At 35.1% G+C, this 19,739-nt stretch overlaps 1 protein-coding gene across 21 annotated transcripts in view, besides 1 other annotated feature; it reads right to left on the bottom strand.

Annotated features, from left to right (window-relative positions):
• MYO3A (myosin IIIA) overlaps positions 1 to 19,739 on the bottom strand; it is a 278,304-nt gene that overhangs the window by 231,373 nt on the left and 27,192 nt on the right. The window lies entirely within an intron of this gene.
• Positions 5,740 to 6,286: an enhancer, noted in NCBI's record as "NANOG hESC enhancer chr10:26263803-26264349 (GRCh37/hg19 assembly coordinates)". NCBI's record gives its function as "activates a minimal SCP1, AML or CMV promoter by ChIP-STARR-seq in naive H9 embryonic stem cells {active_cell/tissue: H9 hESC(naive)}" and the evidence as "EXISTENCE:reporter gene assay evidence [ECO:0000049][PMID:30033119]".

Genomic DNA, 19,739 nt, shown 5'->3' with positions numbered 1-19,739 from the left:
AAGAATGGGGAAACGTTAAATGCATATTGCTGAATGAAAGAAGGCAATCTGAAAAGGCTACATACTGTGTGATTCCAATTATATAACACTCTGGAAAAGGCAAAAGTGGAGATAATGAAAAGATCAGTAATTGCTAGGGATTCAGGGGAGAGGGAGGGATGAATAGGTACAACACAGACAATTTTTAGGGCAGTGAATCTACTCTATGCGATACTGTAATGATTGATACAGATCATCATACAGTTGTCAAAATCCATAAAATGTATAACAGTAGGGAACCCTAATGTAAACTATGGATTTTGGTTAATAATAATGTATCATCCTTGGCTTAGTTGTAACAAATGTACCACACTAGTACAAGATGAAGCTTATATAGCTCTTTACTTTCTGCTTAATTTTTCTGCAAAATTAAACTGCTCAAAAAATAAAGTCTACCAATTTGTTTTAAAAACACAGTTGCTAACACCAAGAATATACAAAAAGGACCTGAAATAATATGAAGCACACAAAATTAATCCAAGTTCAATATAAATGAAGTGCCCCTAGAATGTCTTCTCCAGAATGAAATCATTCTACTCATGACTGAATTTTATATCCAATACATTTTTAGACAAGTGAGGTATTGACACATTTATATATAAATGTGTTCATAATGTAATACTTTTGATTAAGAAAGTGGAATTTAGAAGAATCATAATTTATTCCTTTAAAATCAACAAGTATTTATTGAATTGTTACTATATGCAAAACACTGAGTAGGTGCTCAAGTGCATCAAAGATGACTAGGACCGCTTTTTCTCAAGAGGCTTAAAATACAATCAAAATAGTGAGGGTTTTTTGTTGTTCTTATTGTTGTTTGTTTGTTTTGCCTGGAAGAGATTTTATAAGCATTATGTGGGGTTTTTTGCTTTTTTTTTTTTTTTGAGACGGAGTCTCGCTCCGTTGCCCAGGCTGGAGTGCAGTGGTGCGATCTCGGCTCACTGCAAGCTCCACCTCCCAGGTTCACCACATTCTCCTGCCTCAGCCTCCCGAGTAGCTGGGACTACAGGCGCCTGCCACCACGCCTGGCTAATTTTTTGTATTTTTTAGTACAGAAGGGGTTTCACCGTGTTATCCAGGATGGTCTCAATCTCCTGACCTCATGATCCACCCGCCTTGGCCTCCCAAAGTGCTGGGATTACAGGCGTGAGCCATTGCGCCCGGCCTTTCCTTGTTTTTTGTTTGTTTGTTTTGCCTGGGGGAGATTTTATAACCAGCGGACACTTCACAATGTTTGAAAATATGTTTTACTGTCAAGGCTGTGAAACTGCTATTGGCATCTAGAGGCCAGGAATGCTGCTAAACATACAACAGTGCACAGGAAAGGCCCCCACAACAATTATCCAAGCCACAATGTCAACAGTGCCAAGGTTGAAAAAGCCCCTCATTAGAGGGAAAACACACAATTACCTAGACTGTATGTAGGTCTTGAATTATAGTTATGTGGTAAAAGAATTATGTGCAAAGTACTATAGAATTTCACAGAGACTGGTAACATTGAGTTAGAATGGAAAAAATAAAAGGTTTTAAAGAGAATATTAAATCTGCTGTCATATATGTTGACAATAGTTTTCTACAGATTGTTTTGGTATGTTTCCTTTGGTTATGATGTCTTCTGGAACACAGAAGTACACTTGGGAGGGTGGGTTGGGTGATTCAAATTTATCAACTTTTTTCTGTATGGTCACTGTTTTCTTTTTTTTTTTTTGGTAATAGAAGAAAAGCTTTTCTCCAAACTAAGATAATATTTTGTGACCCTGGTAAGATGGTGATTAAATCATTTTCTTACTACAACTACTTAAGCTTACTAGATTTTTAAAAACAAGTATGTATACAAAAACCAAAGCAGGAAATTTTTAATAGTTAAAAAAGAAACAATGCTATTCACTCTAATAACTGCAAACACTGTACTCTAATTCTGTAGAAGCCACTGAGTTGGCTTGTAGTGCAGGAGATATACCCTCACAATTGATTGTATACTAAAATGCAGTGAGTTGCTCTCTTCAGAAAGAAAGACCAGTTAAAGTCACACTAGAATGTGAGGTGAAAGACATGAATACCAATTCTCTAAGAACTCCAAAATGATTTCATAATCCTCTATTTTACAGATCTAAGCAAACAATGTGGAAAAAAATTACAATCAAACATTTCCAGACAATGAAGTAGCAGACGAGAGGCAATAATAATAGTCTGCACATACCAAACATATGACCCACAATTACCACTAGCAACAATAGTACCATATCAAAGGGATAAAATATGCAAATCTTTCTGAAAATATAAATATAGAAATCTAAAGCATATAAACAAATTCTCCCCATGAAATTTGTTTTGTGGCTTGAATGTCACCTGATAAATTCCCTTAAAATGTTATTAGTTATCTGAGCAATTCAACTAAGATAGTAATTTCCTACATAGGATCTATAATTCTATATTCTGTAATATTCTTATATTCTTATTTATATTAGCTAAGTATTTTATAGAAATAATAAAGTACAATTTTAGGTGGTATATGACTTCATTTGATATGGTTTGGCTATTTCCCCACTCAAATCTCATCTTCAATTTCCATGTGTTGTGGAAGAGACCTGGTGGGAGGTAATTGAATCATGAGGGCAGGTCTTTCCTGTGCTGTTCTCCTGATAATGAAGAAGTCTCATGATATTTGATGGTTATAGAAAGGGGTGTTTCCCTGCACAAGCGCTCCTCTCTTTGCCTACTGCCATCCACGTGAGATGTGACTTGCTCTTCCTTGCCTTCTGCCATGTTTGTGAGGCTTCCCCAGCCATGTGTAAGTACAATTAAACCTTTTTCTTTCATAAATTGCCCAGTCTTGGGTATGTCTTTACTGACAGTGTGAAAACAGATTAATACATCATTCCTATTCCAAATAAACATAGCCACTTAATTTTTCAAGACAAAAGACACTTCAATAAAAACAAACTCAAAATCATTCTCTAAGTTTAACATATGAAAGGAATAGAATAAATTATTAAAACAAGATATTCAAATTTTACTTATAAATCACACAGTATATTTGAAAATATAAAAAGCCTTATATCCTTTATGTCTTCTACTACATCGTTTGCTATACATGTTATTAAAAAAAAATTCACATTAGAAGCCAGAGATTTGGGAGTAAATAACAAAAAAACTATATAAAATTGCAAAGAGATAGCAACATTGATATCAGAAACAGAACCTCCCCACTCCTGTCTCCCCAAAATACTGAGACTCTTGTATGTGATACTTTTGGATATTTCTATCTGGAAGTGGAAGTGAGATGGTGGACAAAGAGAAAGGAGAAATGCCTTTCTCTTTTGTGCATCTATTTTGTAAAGAACACATACCTAAGGTTTGTTAACATCTAGTATTTAGGGCTTAGTAAGTTAGTCAATGTAAACCTAAACTCTTGCTCTTCAAAGTCACAAAATTCTCATTTTATATAATATGAAACACAAGTTTTATTCATTCATTCATTTTATTTAAGTTACACTGAGAAAAAATACACCCCACTTATTTTAATTTTTAAGAGATTAGGGACAGAAAATCACAAATGACAAAATTTTTAAAATCAAATATTTTCTCAGTCATTTTGCTTTGAATGTATATTGGTTTATCTGCTTGACTATGGCTGTATCTGCTGTTAGGGAAACCACTAGGTGAGGCTCACATGAACCTGACCAGGAGAAACTGAAGTTCTTTATAATCCCCTCCCCTTGAATGCTGCCCAACCCCTCCTGTACCTGTTTCATACAAGGAATTTATTTCTCTGTTACCAAAGTAGGATCAGTGGTTTAGTTTTCAGAACAGAAAAAGTTTTCTGAATGAAACTTCAAGAGTTTGATTAAAATGGAAAAGAAATTGGAGGAGGAAGTGAATAGACAAACATGGAAATTATTAAGCAGACTGTTGATAACTAAATATCAATACACCACAAATGACTTTGTGTCTGAAAATCTTCCTAAAGAACCTCCAGATATGAACATACCATGAACTCTCTAATTCTTCATTTAGAATTAGTGAAATTTCAAATATGGTCTTTTGCAAAATATACTTTTCTTCAACCAGCATAAAATGTCCTTCTTACATAAAGAAAAGTAACAAGATAATATTCAAACTGAAATATGAGTTTTTAAAAATAAATATGAAGAATTAAAATATCTTAAATGAAAAGTAAATACCGTATAATTAGGCAACAGATAATAAAAAATAAAAATGATATTGTTTCCCTTTAAAAATAATTGCATCCAGGTGAATGAATTATGTCGTATTTAGCCTATGCAATTTTTAAATCACCAAGATAGACTAAAAGGGGGATTTTATAATAGTAGACTGAAAAATAATTATGTATAGTTTTGCAACACAATGCTAAAATAGACCTTAGTGTTCTTTAATCAAACAAAATTGAAGTATAATTTTCCTAAGCTAGAGCTACACTAATTAAATAACAGAGCAGCACTGAAAATGAATTCTCTACCCTAGCTGTAGTCAAACATTACAAAACAAAACTAAATCAAAAGGTATAATATTATATAAACAGATCATTGCAGCTAACTTCCAAAGACAGCCTTTGTTAAGTTCTCTGAATGTATTCTGTCTTTAGGAGGGGACATGAGATTTTTACTCAAATTTCTGAAAAATGATTGCTAATTTCTATAGTTGGCATTACTGGCTTTGTTGTTTTTCAATTGTTTTTTGTTTATTCTAATAATGTTTTAAGGCCATTAGCTTAGTCTGACTATATTCTGTGTGAGGCTACAAAAGCAGAAACTGTGATTTTCTAATATTCATTCCCGTTTTCACTTTGCTCATTATAAAAGTGCTATCAATATTCATGCTTGAGTCTTTTGGAAACACTAATCTTTAGCAAATGCCTACAAGTGAAACTTCTGGATCATGTGGTAGGCGTATATGTCACATTATAAGACACTGCTGTATGTTTCCAAAGTAACTGAACTGTTTTACACTGCCATAAGCAGTGTATAAGAGTACAATTGGCTCTGCCACCTCACCAATACTCAGTACTATCAGTGTTTTAATTTTAGCCATTTTAGCAAATGTCTAATTGCATTTCATTGTGGTTTTAATTTAAATTTCCCCAAAGACTAAAGATTTTGAACATATTTCATTTATATGGTTTTGTACAATGTCCAAAGTTCTAGCTTACTACCTTTAAATTGGGTGGGTACACTTTATTAGATAAAATTCCCACTATTCCTAGTGTGCTGACTGTGTTTATCACATATGGGTATTGAATTTCGGCATGTCTTTCATGATTTTTTTCCACTTTGATTCTGTTAATGCAATTGTGGTGCAGAGAATTTTTAATGTTTTAACAAATGCATTTTAATGTTTTAACGAACTTGCACTCACTCCTGAAATAAACTCCATTCAGTCATGATGTATTAATATTTTTATATATTGCTAGATTTTATTTGTTAATACTCTGTGAAGTACTTTACATCTGGGTTCATGTGGAATGTCAGACTCAATTTTCTTATGATGTCTTTGTCTTCTTTCAACATTGTTGAGAAATAAAAGTTAAATCCTAAGCATCTCAGACAACTCAATAGACCCTCTCTTGGCCAAGTAGACCCTAGAGAAACCTTAAAAACAGTCCCAGCCATGATGGGATAAGTTGGACACGTGTTGTTACACCCTCTTCTTTGATAACTGCCGTTACGCTTTCTTTCCTAAAGATTAAACAGAAAGCAGCCCTTTTGAGATACTTGCTCCATTATTTAATTCAACCAACTGCTTAATGCTACCCCTCACTTTTGTGGTTTCAACACAGCAACTAACTAGCATTCCTTTCTGATAAGAGACTGCCTGATCCTGGAGTGGTTCTGGCCAGTCTTCTGAGGCTGCATGCACTGAGGGCCTTCCTGTCCTCTGCTTCACCTTTTCATGTATAGGACCTAATTGTAGTACATTTAAATGCTACATCTCCATCCCAAAGCAAACACAGAATGCATATTACATACAAGATAACCTACTGTGCGTGCACATGCCTCCCCTTCATGAATATGTATACTTAGCCAACTCATTCAGCATAAATTCCTGTCTTATCCTTCCCTCCCTCAAAGTGCCTGCTTTTGGCTTCTACCAGAGGCCACACTTCCCAGCCTACAGATGGCTAGCTTGCAGACTGCAACACTTTATAAGAAATAAAGCTTTCTTTTCCAAATGTATGAATCTTCCAATTCTTCAGTTGACAGTATAATGCTGGCCTCATAAAATGAGGCAATAAGACTGATTATTTCTTTCTTAAATATTTTCTAGGACTCTTGTTTCCAGAATGGTGGTGTGATGAACTCATCAATTCATTCTCCAGTGAAGCAACCATAACTACTAAAAATTGGAAAAATAAAGAGCCATTTTAAGTTTTTGGAAATTGTCATAAGGGCATACAGTCAGCGAAGAAACATTCAAGATCATAACACAATCTCAGTTAGAACAGTAGGAGTCTGTGGCATTTGAGCCATCCTCTCCCTCAAACATCCCCAGCCAGTTCAATGTGAAACAAGGTGTCACTCTAAGAGATGTGGGCCCCTGTCTCTGCTGCCAGCTCCTGAACAGTGGCTCAGAGAGTTGGCCCAGAGGGAGAGGCAGGTCATAAGAACAAAGAACTCCAAAGCTCTCCGCAGTGGTTCTGACTGTATTTGGGAGACAGTGTGGGAAAATTAAAGCCTAAGAGTACTCTTGAAAAGAGTGAGATTTTGATAATTACACTGAGGCTGGTAACTCCATGAGAGCAACAAGCTAACCACAGACTGGACAGCTTAGCAAATAGAATTATTTTTTGAATTTATACCTTTTAAAAAATTATTTAAGTTCCGGGATACATGTGCAGAATGTGCAGGTTTGTTACATATGTAAATTTGCTTAAGTTTCTTGTAGATTCTGGATATTAGTCCTTTGTTGGATGCGTAGATTGCAAAAATTTTTTCCCATTCTGTAGGCTGCCTGTTCGCTCTGATGATAGTTTCTTTTGCTGTACAGAAGCTCTTTAGTTGAATTAGATCCCATTTGTCGATTTGGGCTTTTGTTGCAATTGCTTTTGGTGTTTTCATCATGAAATCTGTGCCCATGACTATGTCCTGAATGGTATTGCCTAGGTTTTCTTCGAGGGTTTTTACGGTTTTTGGTTTTACATTTAAGTCTTTAATCCATCTTGCATTAATTTCTGTATAAGGTGTAAGGAAGGGGTCCAGTTTCAGTTTTCTGCATATGGCTAGCCAGTTGTCCCAGCACCATTTATTAAATAGGGAATCCTTTCTCCATTGCTTGTTTTTGTCTGGTTTGTCAAATATCAGATGGTTGTACATGTGTGGTGTTATTTCTTAGGTGTCTGTTCTGTTCCATTGATCTATATGTCTGTTTTGGTACCCATACCATGCTGTTTTGGTTACTGTAAATTCAACATCCCCTCATGTTAAAAACTCTCTATAAACTAGATATTGATGGAACACATATCAAAATAATAAGAGCCATTTATGACAACCCATATCCAATAAAATACTGAATGAGCAAAAACTGGAAGCATTCCCTATGAAAACCAGCACATGATGAGGATGCCCTCTCTCACCACTCCTTTTCAACATAGTATTGGAAGTTCTGGCCAGGGCAATCAGGCAAGAGAAAGAAATAAAGGGTATTTGAATAGGAAGAGAGAAAGTCAAATTGTCTGTTTGCAGATGTCATGATTCTATATTTAGAAAACCCCATCGTCTTGGCCCAAAAACTCCTTAAGCTGATAAATAACTTCAGCAAAGTTTTAGGATACAAAATCAATGTGCAAAAATCACAAGCATTCCTATACGCCAACAATAGACAAGCAGAGTGGCAAATCATGAATGAATTCCCATTCACGATTGCTACAAAGAGAATAAAATGCCTAGCAATAGAGCTAACAAGGATGTGAAGGACCTCTTCAAGGAGAACTATAAACCACTGCTCAAGGAAATAAGAGAGGACCTAAACAAATGGAAAACTATTCCGTCCACATGGATGGAAAGAATCAATGTCATGAAAATGACCATACTGCCCAAAATAATTTATATATTCAATGCTATTCCCATTAAACTACCATTGACATTCTTCACAGAATTAGCAAATAGAATTTTTAAAAAGAAACAGCTAAGAAGAACTGTCCTGGAATCAAAATGAACCTCAAAGCTAGCCACAAAAAGTACTCCTGTAAGGAGTCTGCAACTTAATTGAATCAGATTGTGAAACAATTCATGCCCCAGGACACTGCTGGAAACAACAGAGGAATCAGCTGACAATTAGTGGAGCCTAATAACTGGGGGTGGCACCAACAGAGGCAGACAGATTAATAAAAAGACCAGGGAATGAAACAGTCATAGAAAAGCCCTGTTAAAATCACTGTCATTCCAGGGTGATTGTACATATGCCCTAAGCTGTGCTTGCTGAAGAGTGACATCAAAGGCTTCATAGATGGGGAAAATAGATTTTACTAAAATAGTCCAGCCAAGTCACTAAACAAACAGGCAAACAACAAGTTCCCCACCCAGGGAACTTAGTACGAAGACTTCTTATAATAATTTAAGCAAATTTTCTGAAATGTACAGTTTTCAACAACAACAAAAAAATAAGACATGCAAAGAAACAGGAAAATATCATCCATACACATGAAAAAAAGAAGGGCTTGTGAGCGGGCCCAGTCATTGGACTTAGTGGACAAATATTCCAAAGCAAAGATATAAATATGTTTAAAGAACTAGAGGAAATCATCCTTACAGTAGCAAAGAAAGGTTTGATGGTAATGTCTCATCAAATATGGAATATCAATAAAGAGAACACTCATCATTCATAAAAAAAGAACAAAGTGAAAATTATAGATTTAAAAACTACAGTTATGGAAATGAAAATTTCACTACAGGGACTCAACAGATTTGAATTGGGATTATAAAATATGAAAAAAAGAAGAAGGAATGAAGGTAAATGAACAGTTTCAGAGAAATATAAGCATACATGTAATGACAGTATGAGAAAACAAGAGAGAGAACAAGCAGCAGAAGAAAAATCTTTGAAGAAGTAATGACTGATAATTTTCAAATTTAATGAGAAGCATTCAGGTAGCTCAATGAACTCAAATAAGATAAATGCATGTAGTCCCAGCTACTTGGGAGGCTGAGGCAGGAGAATTGCTTGAACCCGGGAGGCGGAGGTTACAATCAGCTGAGACTGTGCCACTGCACTCCAGCCTGGGTGACAGAGTGAGACTCTGTCTCCAAACAAACACACAAACAAAAAAAGATAAATGCAAAGAGGTCCAAGCTAGTCACACAATAGTAAAAAGGTTGAAAGCCTATAATAAAAGGAAAATCTTGAAATTAACAGAAGAAAAATGAATTGTCACATATTAGGGAACTAACAATGTTAACAACTGACTTCTCATTAGAACTATGTAGGCCAGAAGGCAGAGAGATGACATATTCAAGGTGCTAAAGGAAAAAATACCTTACTAAGACTATCATACTCAGCAAAACTCTCTCAAAAATAAAGGGGAAATGAAGACATTGCCAGGTAAACAAAATTGACAGAACTCACTGTTAGCAGAACCAACTTATTAGAAATACTAAAGGAAATTTTTTAGAATGAAAGTAAGTGATCTCACATAGTGATCTGGATCTACACAAGAAAACAAAGAGCACTAGTAATGATAATTATTTTATTAGAGAAAAATGAAGATATACTGTAAATGCATATTTCTTCCTTTTTCTCTTAACTTATTTAAAAAGCAATTGTATAAAACATTAGGCATATAATTGTATTGTTGGGCCTACAATATATAGAAATGTGACATATTTAACAATTGCATAAGAGAGGTGGGTTGGAGCAAAGCTGTACTGAAATAATCACACCAGGCAGGAACTCAAATTCACAGGAACAAACTAAAAGAACTGGAAACATTAAATAAGACAGATAACAAACTATAATTAAATACTTGTTCTTCTTTCTTCTGCTTTTCTTTAAAATATAAAAAAAATGCACGGTTCTACTATTTACTGATACAATGTGTATAACAATACAGAATGAAAATGAAAAGGGAATAGAGCTAGAGCAATAATATTTCTATATCTCTCCAGAATTAAGTTAGTATAAATATTTGACAGAATTCACCAGTGAAGTCATTGGGCTTGGTATTTTCTTTGTGGAAAGGGTTTTAATTATTAAGTTTCTTTTATTAATATAAACTATTTGCATTTTCTATTTCTTCTCATATCAGTTATACAACTCATGTCTTTCCAGAAAGACCCAAGACACTAAATTACCAAACTTATCAATATAAAGTTGTTCATAATATTTCATTAATATCATTTGAATGTCTATAAATTCAATAATAATTTTCCCCATTTGATACTTAATATAAATAATATGTATTTTCTTACTTTTCTCTGGATCTGTCTAAAGAGATCAAGTTTATTTACTTTATTAAGAGACAACTCTTCCTTTCATTCTATTATTTTTGTTTATTTTTTACTAAAGTGATTTCTACTATTATCTTTATTACTTCTTTCATTTAGGTTATATTGGATTTAATTTGCTTCAATTTTATTAACTTCTTAAGGCAAAAATCTATATAACCGATATTAAATCTTTTTTTTCTAATATACATTACAGGGAGGTGCAAATGCCCTTCTAGGCACTGCTTAAATGCATTCTACACATTTGATATGTTGCATTTCCATTATTCCATTCAAAATATTTTCACACTTTTCTTTTGATTTCCTCTCTGACCTAAAGTTTGTTTTTGAGGTGTGTGATCTAATTCCCAGGTATTTGTTAGTTTTTCTTATATTTTTATTTTATAGATTTTAATTTAATTCCATTATGGTCAGATAATATTCTTTTATGATTTTGACTCTTTTAAACTTGTTGATATTTGTCTTATGGTCCAGAATATTTAAATTTTATGTATCCTCAAATAATTTTCTACTTGTTTTTTAAATTACTGAGGAAATGATTTTGAAATTTCCATTTAATATTGAGGATATGACTATTTCTTTTTTCATTTCTCTTAGTTTTTGACACATATAATTTTAAAGCTTTGTTATTAAGCACACACAAACTAAAAAGTGTTTTCTCCTCTTGATGAATTGAACTTTTTGTCATTATGAAATGTCATCTGTCTCTGATTATACTGCTTGTCTGGAAGTTACCTTGCCTTATATTAAAATAGCCATTCCAACTATTGAAATGAATAAAATGAATGTTTTCATTGTACAGCTTCTCCATCTCTTTACTTTCAATCTATCTATCTGCATGTTTCTATTTAAAGTGTGTTTGTAGTTGGGTATTACAATCCAGTCTCATAATTTCTGCCTTTAAATTGTATAGTCTAAATCATATACACTTAATGTAATTATAAATATAACTGGGTTTAAGTTTACCACATTGCTGTATTTGTTTCTATTCGTCTCTTCTTTGTTCTCTTTTCCTATTTTCCTACTTTCTTTGGGTTGAATATTTCTAGTATTCCATTTTGTACTCCACTAGCTTATTAGCTATACTTCATTTTATTTTTTACCAGTTGCTTTAGGGTTTACAATATGCATCTTTAACTTATCACTATCTACATTAAAATAACATACCACTTCACATATAAGACACTTTAATTGTATACACTAGTCCCCCATTATCCACGGATTATATGTTCCAAGACCTTCAGTGGATACCCAAAACCACAGATAGTACTGCACCGTATATATACTATGCTTTTTGCTATACATATATCCTATGATCAAGTTTAACTTATAAACTAGGTACAGTAAGAGATGATAACTACTAGTAAAATGGAACAATTATAACAACATTCCAGCAACACTACTCCTGCATTCTGGGGCCTTTTTTAGAGATGGAGTCTTGCTCTGTTGCCCAGGCTGGCTGGAGTGTACTGGTGCAATCTCGGCTCACTGCAAGTTCCGCCTCCCGGGTTCAAGCCATTCTCCTGCCTCCCGAGTAGCTGGGACTACAGGTGCACGCCACCTCACCCGGCTAATTTTTTGTATTTTTAGTAGAGATGGGGTTTCACCGTATTAGCCAGGATGGTCTTGATCTCCTGACCTTGTCATCCGCCCACCTTGGCCTCCCAAAGTGCTGGGATTACAGGCGTGAGCCACCATGCCTGGCCTGTGGCCATTATTAAGTAAAATAAGGGTTACTTGAACATGAGCACTGCAATACTATGACAATCTGATAACCCAGATGGATACTAAGTCACTAATAGGCAGGTAGCATATACAACATAGATATGCTGCACAAGAAGATAATTCACATTCTGGGTGGGATGGAGCAGGACCACATGATATTTCATCATGCTAATCAGAAAGGCACACAACTGAAAATGTGAATTGTTTATTTCTGGAATTTCCCATTTAATATTTTCAAACAGTGGTTGACCACAGGTGACTGAAATTGTGAAAAGCAAAACCTTGGATAAGGGTAAACTGCTTGTACTTCCAATTTTCCTCCTCTGTCCCTTTGCTATTTACACTGGTTATAACTTCACAATATAGAGTTATAATTGTAGTTCTAAAAAGCGTTTTTTCTTTCAAAGATACAACAAGTATAAAATCAAATGTTTCATATCTGCCCTATATTTACCACTGATGGTGATTTTTATTCCTTTCTGTAGGTATGACTTTTCACCTGGAATCATTTTCCTTCAGCCTAAAAAATGTTCTTTGACATTTTTTATAGTGCAGGTCTCTGCCAGTAAATTCTTCATTTTTTCATTTGACATAAATGTCTGTTTTAATTTTGTCTTTATTTATGAATAACATTTTCACTGAATACAGAATTCAAAATTGAAGGGACTTTTCTTTCAGTCCTTCAAAGATGTCATTCCATTGCATTTGATGACAAACCAGTGGCCATTCTTATCTATGACCCCTAAATGTAATGTGTCTTTTTTCTCTTGCTGCTTTTATAATCCTTCTCATTAGTTTTCAGCATTTGGATTATGACATACCTTAGTGTGGCTTTCTTTCTCATACTTGAGTGATTTTTGACCTTCTTCAGCTTCTTAGTGCTCAGCAAATTTAGAAAAATTTCAGCCATTATTTAAATGATATCCTCCACCCCCTACACCCGCCATTCTCAGGCTGCAATGACACATAGGTGAGACTACTAGGTAATGTCTCATAGGTCACAGAGACTTTTCTCTCCAGCCTTATTTTGATAACTATGCTTCAGTTTGAACAGCTTAAATTTTCCTGCCTTCAAGTTTACTGATCTTTTCTCCCATATGCCTATTGTGCTGTTAAACCTGATTCTTATGAATTTGTCATCATATATATTATATTTTTAAGTTTTAGAAGTTCTATTCAGTTCTTTTTTCTATATTCCATTTCTTTCAACATTATGTTCATGTTTTTCTTTAAATTGTTGAACATATTTATAACTATTTTAAAGTACGAACCAGCTAATTTCAACATCTCTGTTACTTCTGGGTCTGACTCTATTGACTGATTTTTCTTCTGATAATGGGCTGCATATTCCTGAATCTTCACATATCTAGTGATCTAATATTGGAGCTGGATATTCTTAGTGTTACATTATTGAATTGTAGATTTTGCTGTCTTCTAATAATAAATGTTGAATTTTGCTCTGGCAGGCAGTTAATTACTTGTGGATCAACTTGAACTTTTCAGGTAGCTCTTATTCTAGGGCTAGTTTAGTCCTTCCTCCAATGTATAACCTTTCTGGAGGGTCTCTATTAAATGTCTCAGGCGTTCAGTGAAGTTTCCCCATTTTGGCTGGTAGTAACTCGAGCATCTCTCAATCCTGCACAAACTCCAGTAGTTGTGTGGATTACAGCCCTACATTGATTCTTTCTCTGGTAATTATTCTTTGCCAAACTGCCTGAAGTCACACTCTACATATATCTATGTGGGTTTTCAGTTAAATATTTTTATGTACTTATTTAGATTGTGTAGATAATCTTTATGTAGATTTTCAGAGCTTTTTTCTGCATAACTTCCTCTTCTCTGCACAGTCCAGTCACTCTGCCTTTCCAATTTCTTCAGTGCAGCAACAGTTGCTTTGATCTCCTTGGGAACAGCTTCCTTCTGCCTGTGCTCTGGAAACTGCCTCTATGAATAATGATGAGGTAATTGTAGTGTTCGCCTCATTTATTTCCTTTTATCAATGTCACAGTCCTAAGTCTCTTTTCCAATATTTAAAAAGTGTTGTGTTTTTAAAAATATGTTTTGTCTAGCTTTCTCGTTGTTTATGGTACAACAGCATGTCAATACCTGGTCTGTCATGACCAGAAGCAGAAGCCCCAGAATGTTTTTACGTATACTATAATTTGAGAACCTCTGATAGAGTTTCTTGGACTTTCCTTTCATAAGAATCACCTTTGTGCTTGTTTAGAAAACCACAGTTTCCAAGACACCATTCTTGCAGTTTTTGCTGCATGGGGTTCAAGATATTGAGATTCCTTTCATAAAAGTAGTTTGGGGGCTATTTCAAAGAATAAAGGTACTAAAACTGTTCAGTTTTTTTTTGTTTGTTTTCAGGTAGCAGATTAAAATGCTGCCTCCTCACATAGAACTTCTTTGACTACTCTTTTCACAAAAGGTTTTCTCTTTCCTATCCTATCAATGTCCCCTTTTATATTCTTCATAGCACTAATAAACACAAATAACCACTTTTAAATTTAGCTTTAAATTGTCTTCCTCCACCACTATACAGCAAGTTCCATGATGGCAGAGTGTCTTGTTCTCTATTCAATATTGAGAACCTACCAAAATGGCTGGTGCAGAGTAACAGATTACTATTTATAGAATAAATAAATTATTAGATGAATAAACTTCAGTTCTGTAAACTTACGCACACACGTAATAAAATGACAGAGGTCATCTTTTCACATGCTATGGAAGATACCTCTTCAAAGTATATCGTGGCTTCAGGGTTTAGAAACCAGGGAGCGGGGGCAAGATGGCAGAATAGAAAGTTCCACCCATTATCCCAGTCCCACCCCCTCGCAAGGACACCAAGTTAATAACTATGTACACAGAAAAAAACACCTTCTTAAGAACCGAAAATCTGGTGAGCACCCATAGTATCTGGTTTTAACTTCATATTGCTGAAGGAGGCACTGAAGAGAGAGAGAGAGAGAGAGAAAAAAAAAAACAGTTCTGAATCACCTATACCACCCCTTCCCTACCCCGGTAGCCAATGGGTGGTGCCCAGAGTTTCTCTGGGTGCTGCAGGAGGGCGAACACAGCAATTGTGAGGCATTGAACTCAGTACTGTCCTGTTAGAGCAGAAAGGAAAAGTAGGGCAAGCTCAACTGACGCCCACCCACAGAGGGAGCATTTAAACTCAGCCTAGGCAGAGGGGAACTACCAATTCCAGCAGTCTGAACTTGAGTGCCTGCAAACCTCGCTACAGAGGTTTGCAGGTTTGCACTCTATATATTCAAGTAAACTTGAAAAGCAATCTAGGCCATGAGGACTACAAATCATAAGCAAGTCCTAGTGCTGCACTAGGGCCCAGAGACAGTGGACTCGGGGATCACGCAACGAACTGAGACACCAACTGGGGCAGCCAAGGGAGTGCTGGCATCACGTCCCTTAGCCCCAGGCTGCACAGCTCAAGGCTCCAAAAGAAACCCCTCCCTTCCCCCTGAGGAGAGGAGAAGGAAGAGTGGCAAGGACTTTGTCTTGAATCTTGGATACCAGCTCAGCCACAGCAGGACAGGGTACCAATCAGAATCATGAGGCCCCCATTCCAGGCCCTAGCTCCCAGATGACATTTCTAAACACACTCTGGGCCATAAGGGAATCTGCCGCCATGAAGTAAAAGACCCAGTGCAAAAGAAAATATCCTCCAAAGGGCAAATCTAAGAGTTATTGGCCTTAAAGAGGAGGTAGAGAGAGACAGGTGTAGAATGTTTATTCAAAGGAATAGTAACAGAGAATTTCCTAAACCTAGAGAAAGATATCAATATCCACGTGCAAGAAGGTTGTAGAACACCAAGCAGATTTAACCCAAAGAAGACTACCTCAAGGCATTTAATAATCAAACTTCCAAAGGTCAGGGATACATAAAGGATCCTAAAAGCAGCAAGAGAAAAGAAATAAATAGCATACAATGAGGTTCAATACTTCTGGCAGCAACTTTTCAGTGGAAACCTTATGGGCCAGGAGAGAGTGGCATGACATATTTAAAGTGCTGAAGGAAAAAGAAAACAACTTTTACCCTGGAATAGTATATCCAGTGAAATACCCTTCAAACATGAAGAAGAAATAGAGACTTTGCCAGACAAACAAAAGTTGAAGGATTTCATCAATACCAAACCCATCCTACAAGAAATGCTAAAGGGAGTTCTTCAGTCAGAAAGAAAACAAAATTAATAAGGAATAAATAATCATCTGATGGTACAAAACTTACTGGTAATAGTAGTACACAGAGAAACACAGAATATTATAACACTGTGACTGTGGTGTATAAACTACTCTTATCCTATGTAGAAAGACCAAATGATGAACCAATCAAAAATAATAACTGCAACAACTTTTCAAGACATAGTACAATAAGATATAAATAGAAACAACAAAAAGTTAAAAATCAGGGGACAAAGCTAAGCTAAGGTGAGTTTTTATTAGTTTTATTTTTGCTTGTTTGTTTGTATATGCAAAGTGTGATATGTTCATCTTAATTCCTATGAAATATATTAATGTACCAAATTCTGGATTCCAATAAAATACTAATAAAATATTAATAAAAACTGGGACTACCACCTAATAGACATTTTCTAATGTGTGCTTTTGTAGTGTGTAAAATTTTCACATTCCTTTTCCAATGTGTAAACTAGAAGTATTTTAAAGGTATTATTGTTGTATAATATAATTGGCTCTTTTAGGTATACAGTTGGATGTATTTTAGTAATCATATACAATCATGTAACCACTAAATCAAAATATAGAACACTTACTTCACCCTAAAATGCTTTAAAAATCTAGGGGGAACACTATAGCACACTAGTAATGTAATCAACAATAAATCTATGATAACAGAGAAAATAACTTACCAGAAGAAATATTTTAATGTGTACAATAAAAATCTATTAATTTATTAAATAGCAAGACATCACTGGTCACCTCATATTTTCTTACCTCTGAAGTAACACTATAAATGTGCATGCCTATTCAAAGAAGATGCTTTTTCCGGCACTGAAGTACAATTAGGAAAGAAAGATATATAAGAGTTATATATATTATGTATAAATTTCCTAAGTTAGAAGAGTATAAAGAAGTACATTTAGGCCATGTTTCTATCCTGCCCTTTAAACAAACAAAAAATGAAACAACTCTAGGTAATTGGCTGTCTGTTCTACTGCAAGTACACCAAATAATAGCCTTTTACATGAGAGGTGGGAATGGTGGTTCCAGCCTTAAGAACATGAAAGGAATCACACTGTGAGTCTGCTACTCCACTGCAATTGTGAACTGCCAAAGGGAAGAAGGAACAATTCTGTGCCATCTAAGTAACTCAGCAGCCCAGTTCCTCACTCCTGCCCTGTTTCTCCTGACCCCTCACAAATATACAAGTCCGCAAAGGCTTTATATTCCCTTCTGTGTACATGTTATCCTCCAGGGCAGTAGCATTAAAGGGTTAATAGCTGAACAAACAGAAAGCTCACATTCATTCTAACTTATCTTCTTTCTATCATTCCATGTTTCCTTTCCTCAAGGCAGGCCTGATATTACTAACTAGATGTAAGTATAAAAACAGAACAACCAATAATGCATGACACATGAAAGTAGTATTTATGTCTATAAAAACCACTTTGATGACCGAAAATGTGCATTTGAGAGGCTTTATGACTATTTACTGAATTTTCGTGCTTTGAAATACCACCTGTAATTGGCAGTCTTTAGTCTCCTGAAAAGGATATAATTTCAAAGAGAAAAATTGCTATAATTGGGGAGCAATGAGAAAAAGCAATGTCACTATTATGAATGAACAAATCAGGACCAATTCAAATGAATAATAGAATGTAGTCTGTAGCACCACTGTGAAAGGAGCAATTATAGCTAAGATTGGATTATGAGGGAAAGGGTCTTTTAACAGAAAGATGTCCTAACTCTGAATTTTGGATTCATTATGGCTGAAGGCACACTAAGCAAACAGCTCCTGAGAGAGAAGCCCAGATTTCCTTACCTACTTAAAATGTGGTTGTTCATCCAACCAAGAAGGGGAAAATTACAATTAAATCTCAGTTCTCCCCTTTGTGTCCATCAATAGCAAATGCCTTATATGAGACTGATTTAACTCAATTTTGATTCTGTTTTACGGTCTCCCGGTTCAGGTAGGAAGCATTTGAAGAATCCTACCCGAGTCCTCATCTTCCCAGCTCCCCTCCACGCTTGATACTGATCCCCAACAGTAGATATCAGGGGTAAAAGGCAGTGCAAAGTCAAAAGAAGTATTTACATCTCACTAAACAAGTCAGTCAAGAGATGTGATAGCAACAGGCAGAAAGGAATATACATAAGGTATTTCAAAATGAGGCATAGGTAGAAACAAACAGAAAACATTGGTTCTCCCTTTATGTCTACATCATTAGGAAAACCTAAAATATTGAATGACAACAAAACTCCCCGTAGATGTTCTATAAAAAACTAAATTAGTTTCCACAGCATAAAACTTCATTCAAGTGTATAACTGGAATTTCAGAGGGCCAGCAACTAGTGCCCTTTTACTAAACCTAGGTACCATTTAGATTCTCAAAATAAACATGCAGAGAATTAAGATGAAAATAACTCCTAAACAGAGTCCTTGTATATCATTCATGCTCAAAAACTTATAAAATAACAAATGAGGGTAAAATAAATAAAAGAGAAAAATCATATCAGAAAGCAAAAGAAATAATTTTAAAATTGTAACTAGAGAAAACAGACTGCCCAGCAAGATCTGGCACATCATTATTCTTAGGATTTCAACTCTGGATTGAAATATAAGTAAAGTGATTTTTCGTTGTGAAAAGCATCTCACAGGAGTTTCTCTAGGCTAGTATGGCCATCCACACACACCAGGCTTAGAATGAGGACAGTAACTCATTGCTCTGATACATCCCCTCCAGTACTCACCTTCTGTATGTAGATTCACATTAAAAGCCTAGCACTGTTAACATGATTCTCTGGGTAACATTACAGCCACTGCCCCTCTTTTGGTACCCTCATGCAAAATAATTTAAATGGACTTTATTACAATGAAAGGTATAATTAGCAGTCATGTTGTACTACAAAGCATTGATGCCACAAGCCAATTTTCTGAAAGTGCCTCTAAAGCAGCACCTGCACCATTCATGTTTATAAATCAGGTAATTGTACATCTAGCCACTTATGTGTATATGTGATTAGTCTAATTTACATATGCAAATCAATTATCTTATATACAGTTTGCCAACTTCTTGCTTTCCTTAGCCTTTTTTTTCCCTCCACTTTGTAAATTCAAGTAGATCAGATTTTGGAAATACCATTTTATTAAACTAAATTTATTCTTTTTTTCCAAAGTCATTTAGAGATATTTCCAATATCTCCATCTGATAATAAATTATAAGGACAAAATTCAAATAAATTGTAGCGACTCTACTGATTCATTATATCTGGATGTTGCTTTACTTATAAGATATTCCCAAAACATTTTAATCA

The sequence above is a fragment of the Homo sapiens genome, chromosome 10 (assembly GCF_000001405.40).
Source record: "Homo sapiens chromosome 10, GRCh38.p14 Primary Assembly".
Lineage (NCBI taxonomy): Eukaryota > Metazoa > Chordata > Mammalia > Primates > Hominidae > Homo > Homo sapiens.
The sequence above is the reverse complement of the archived record's forward strand: the minus strand, read 5'-3'. Positions and strand labels throughout refer to the sequence as shown.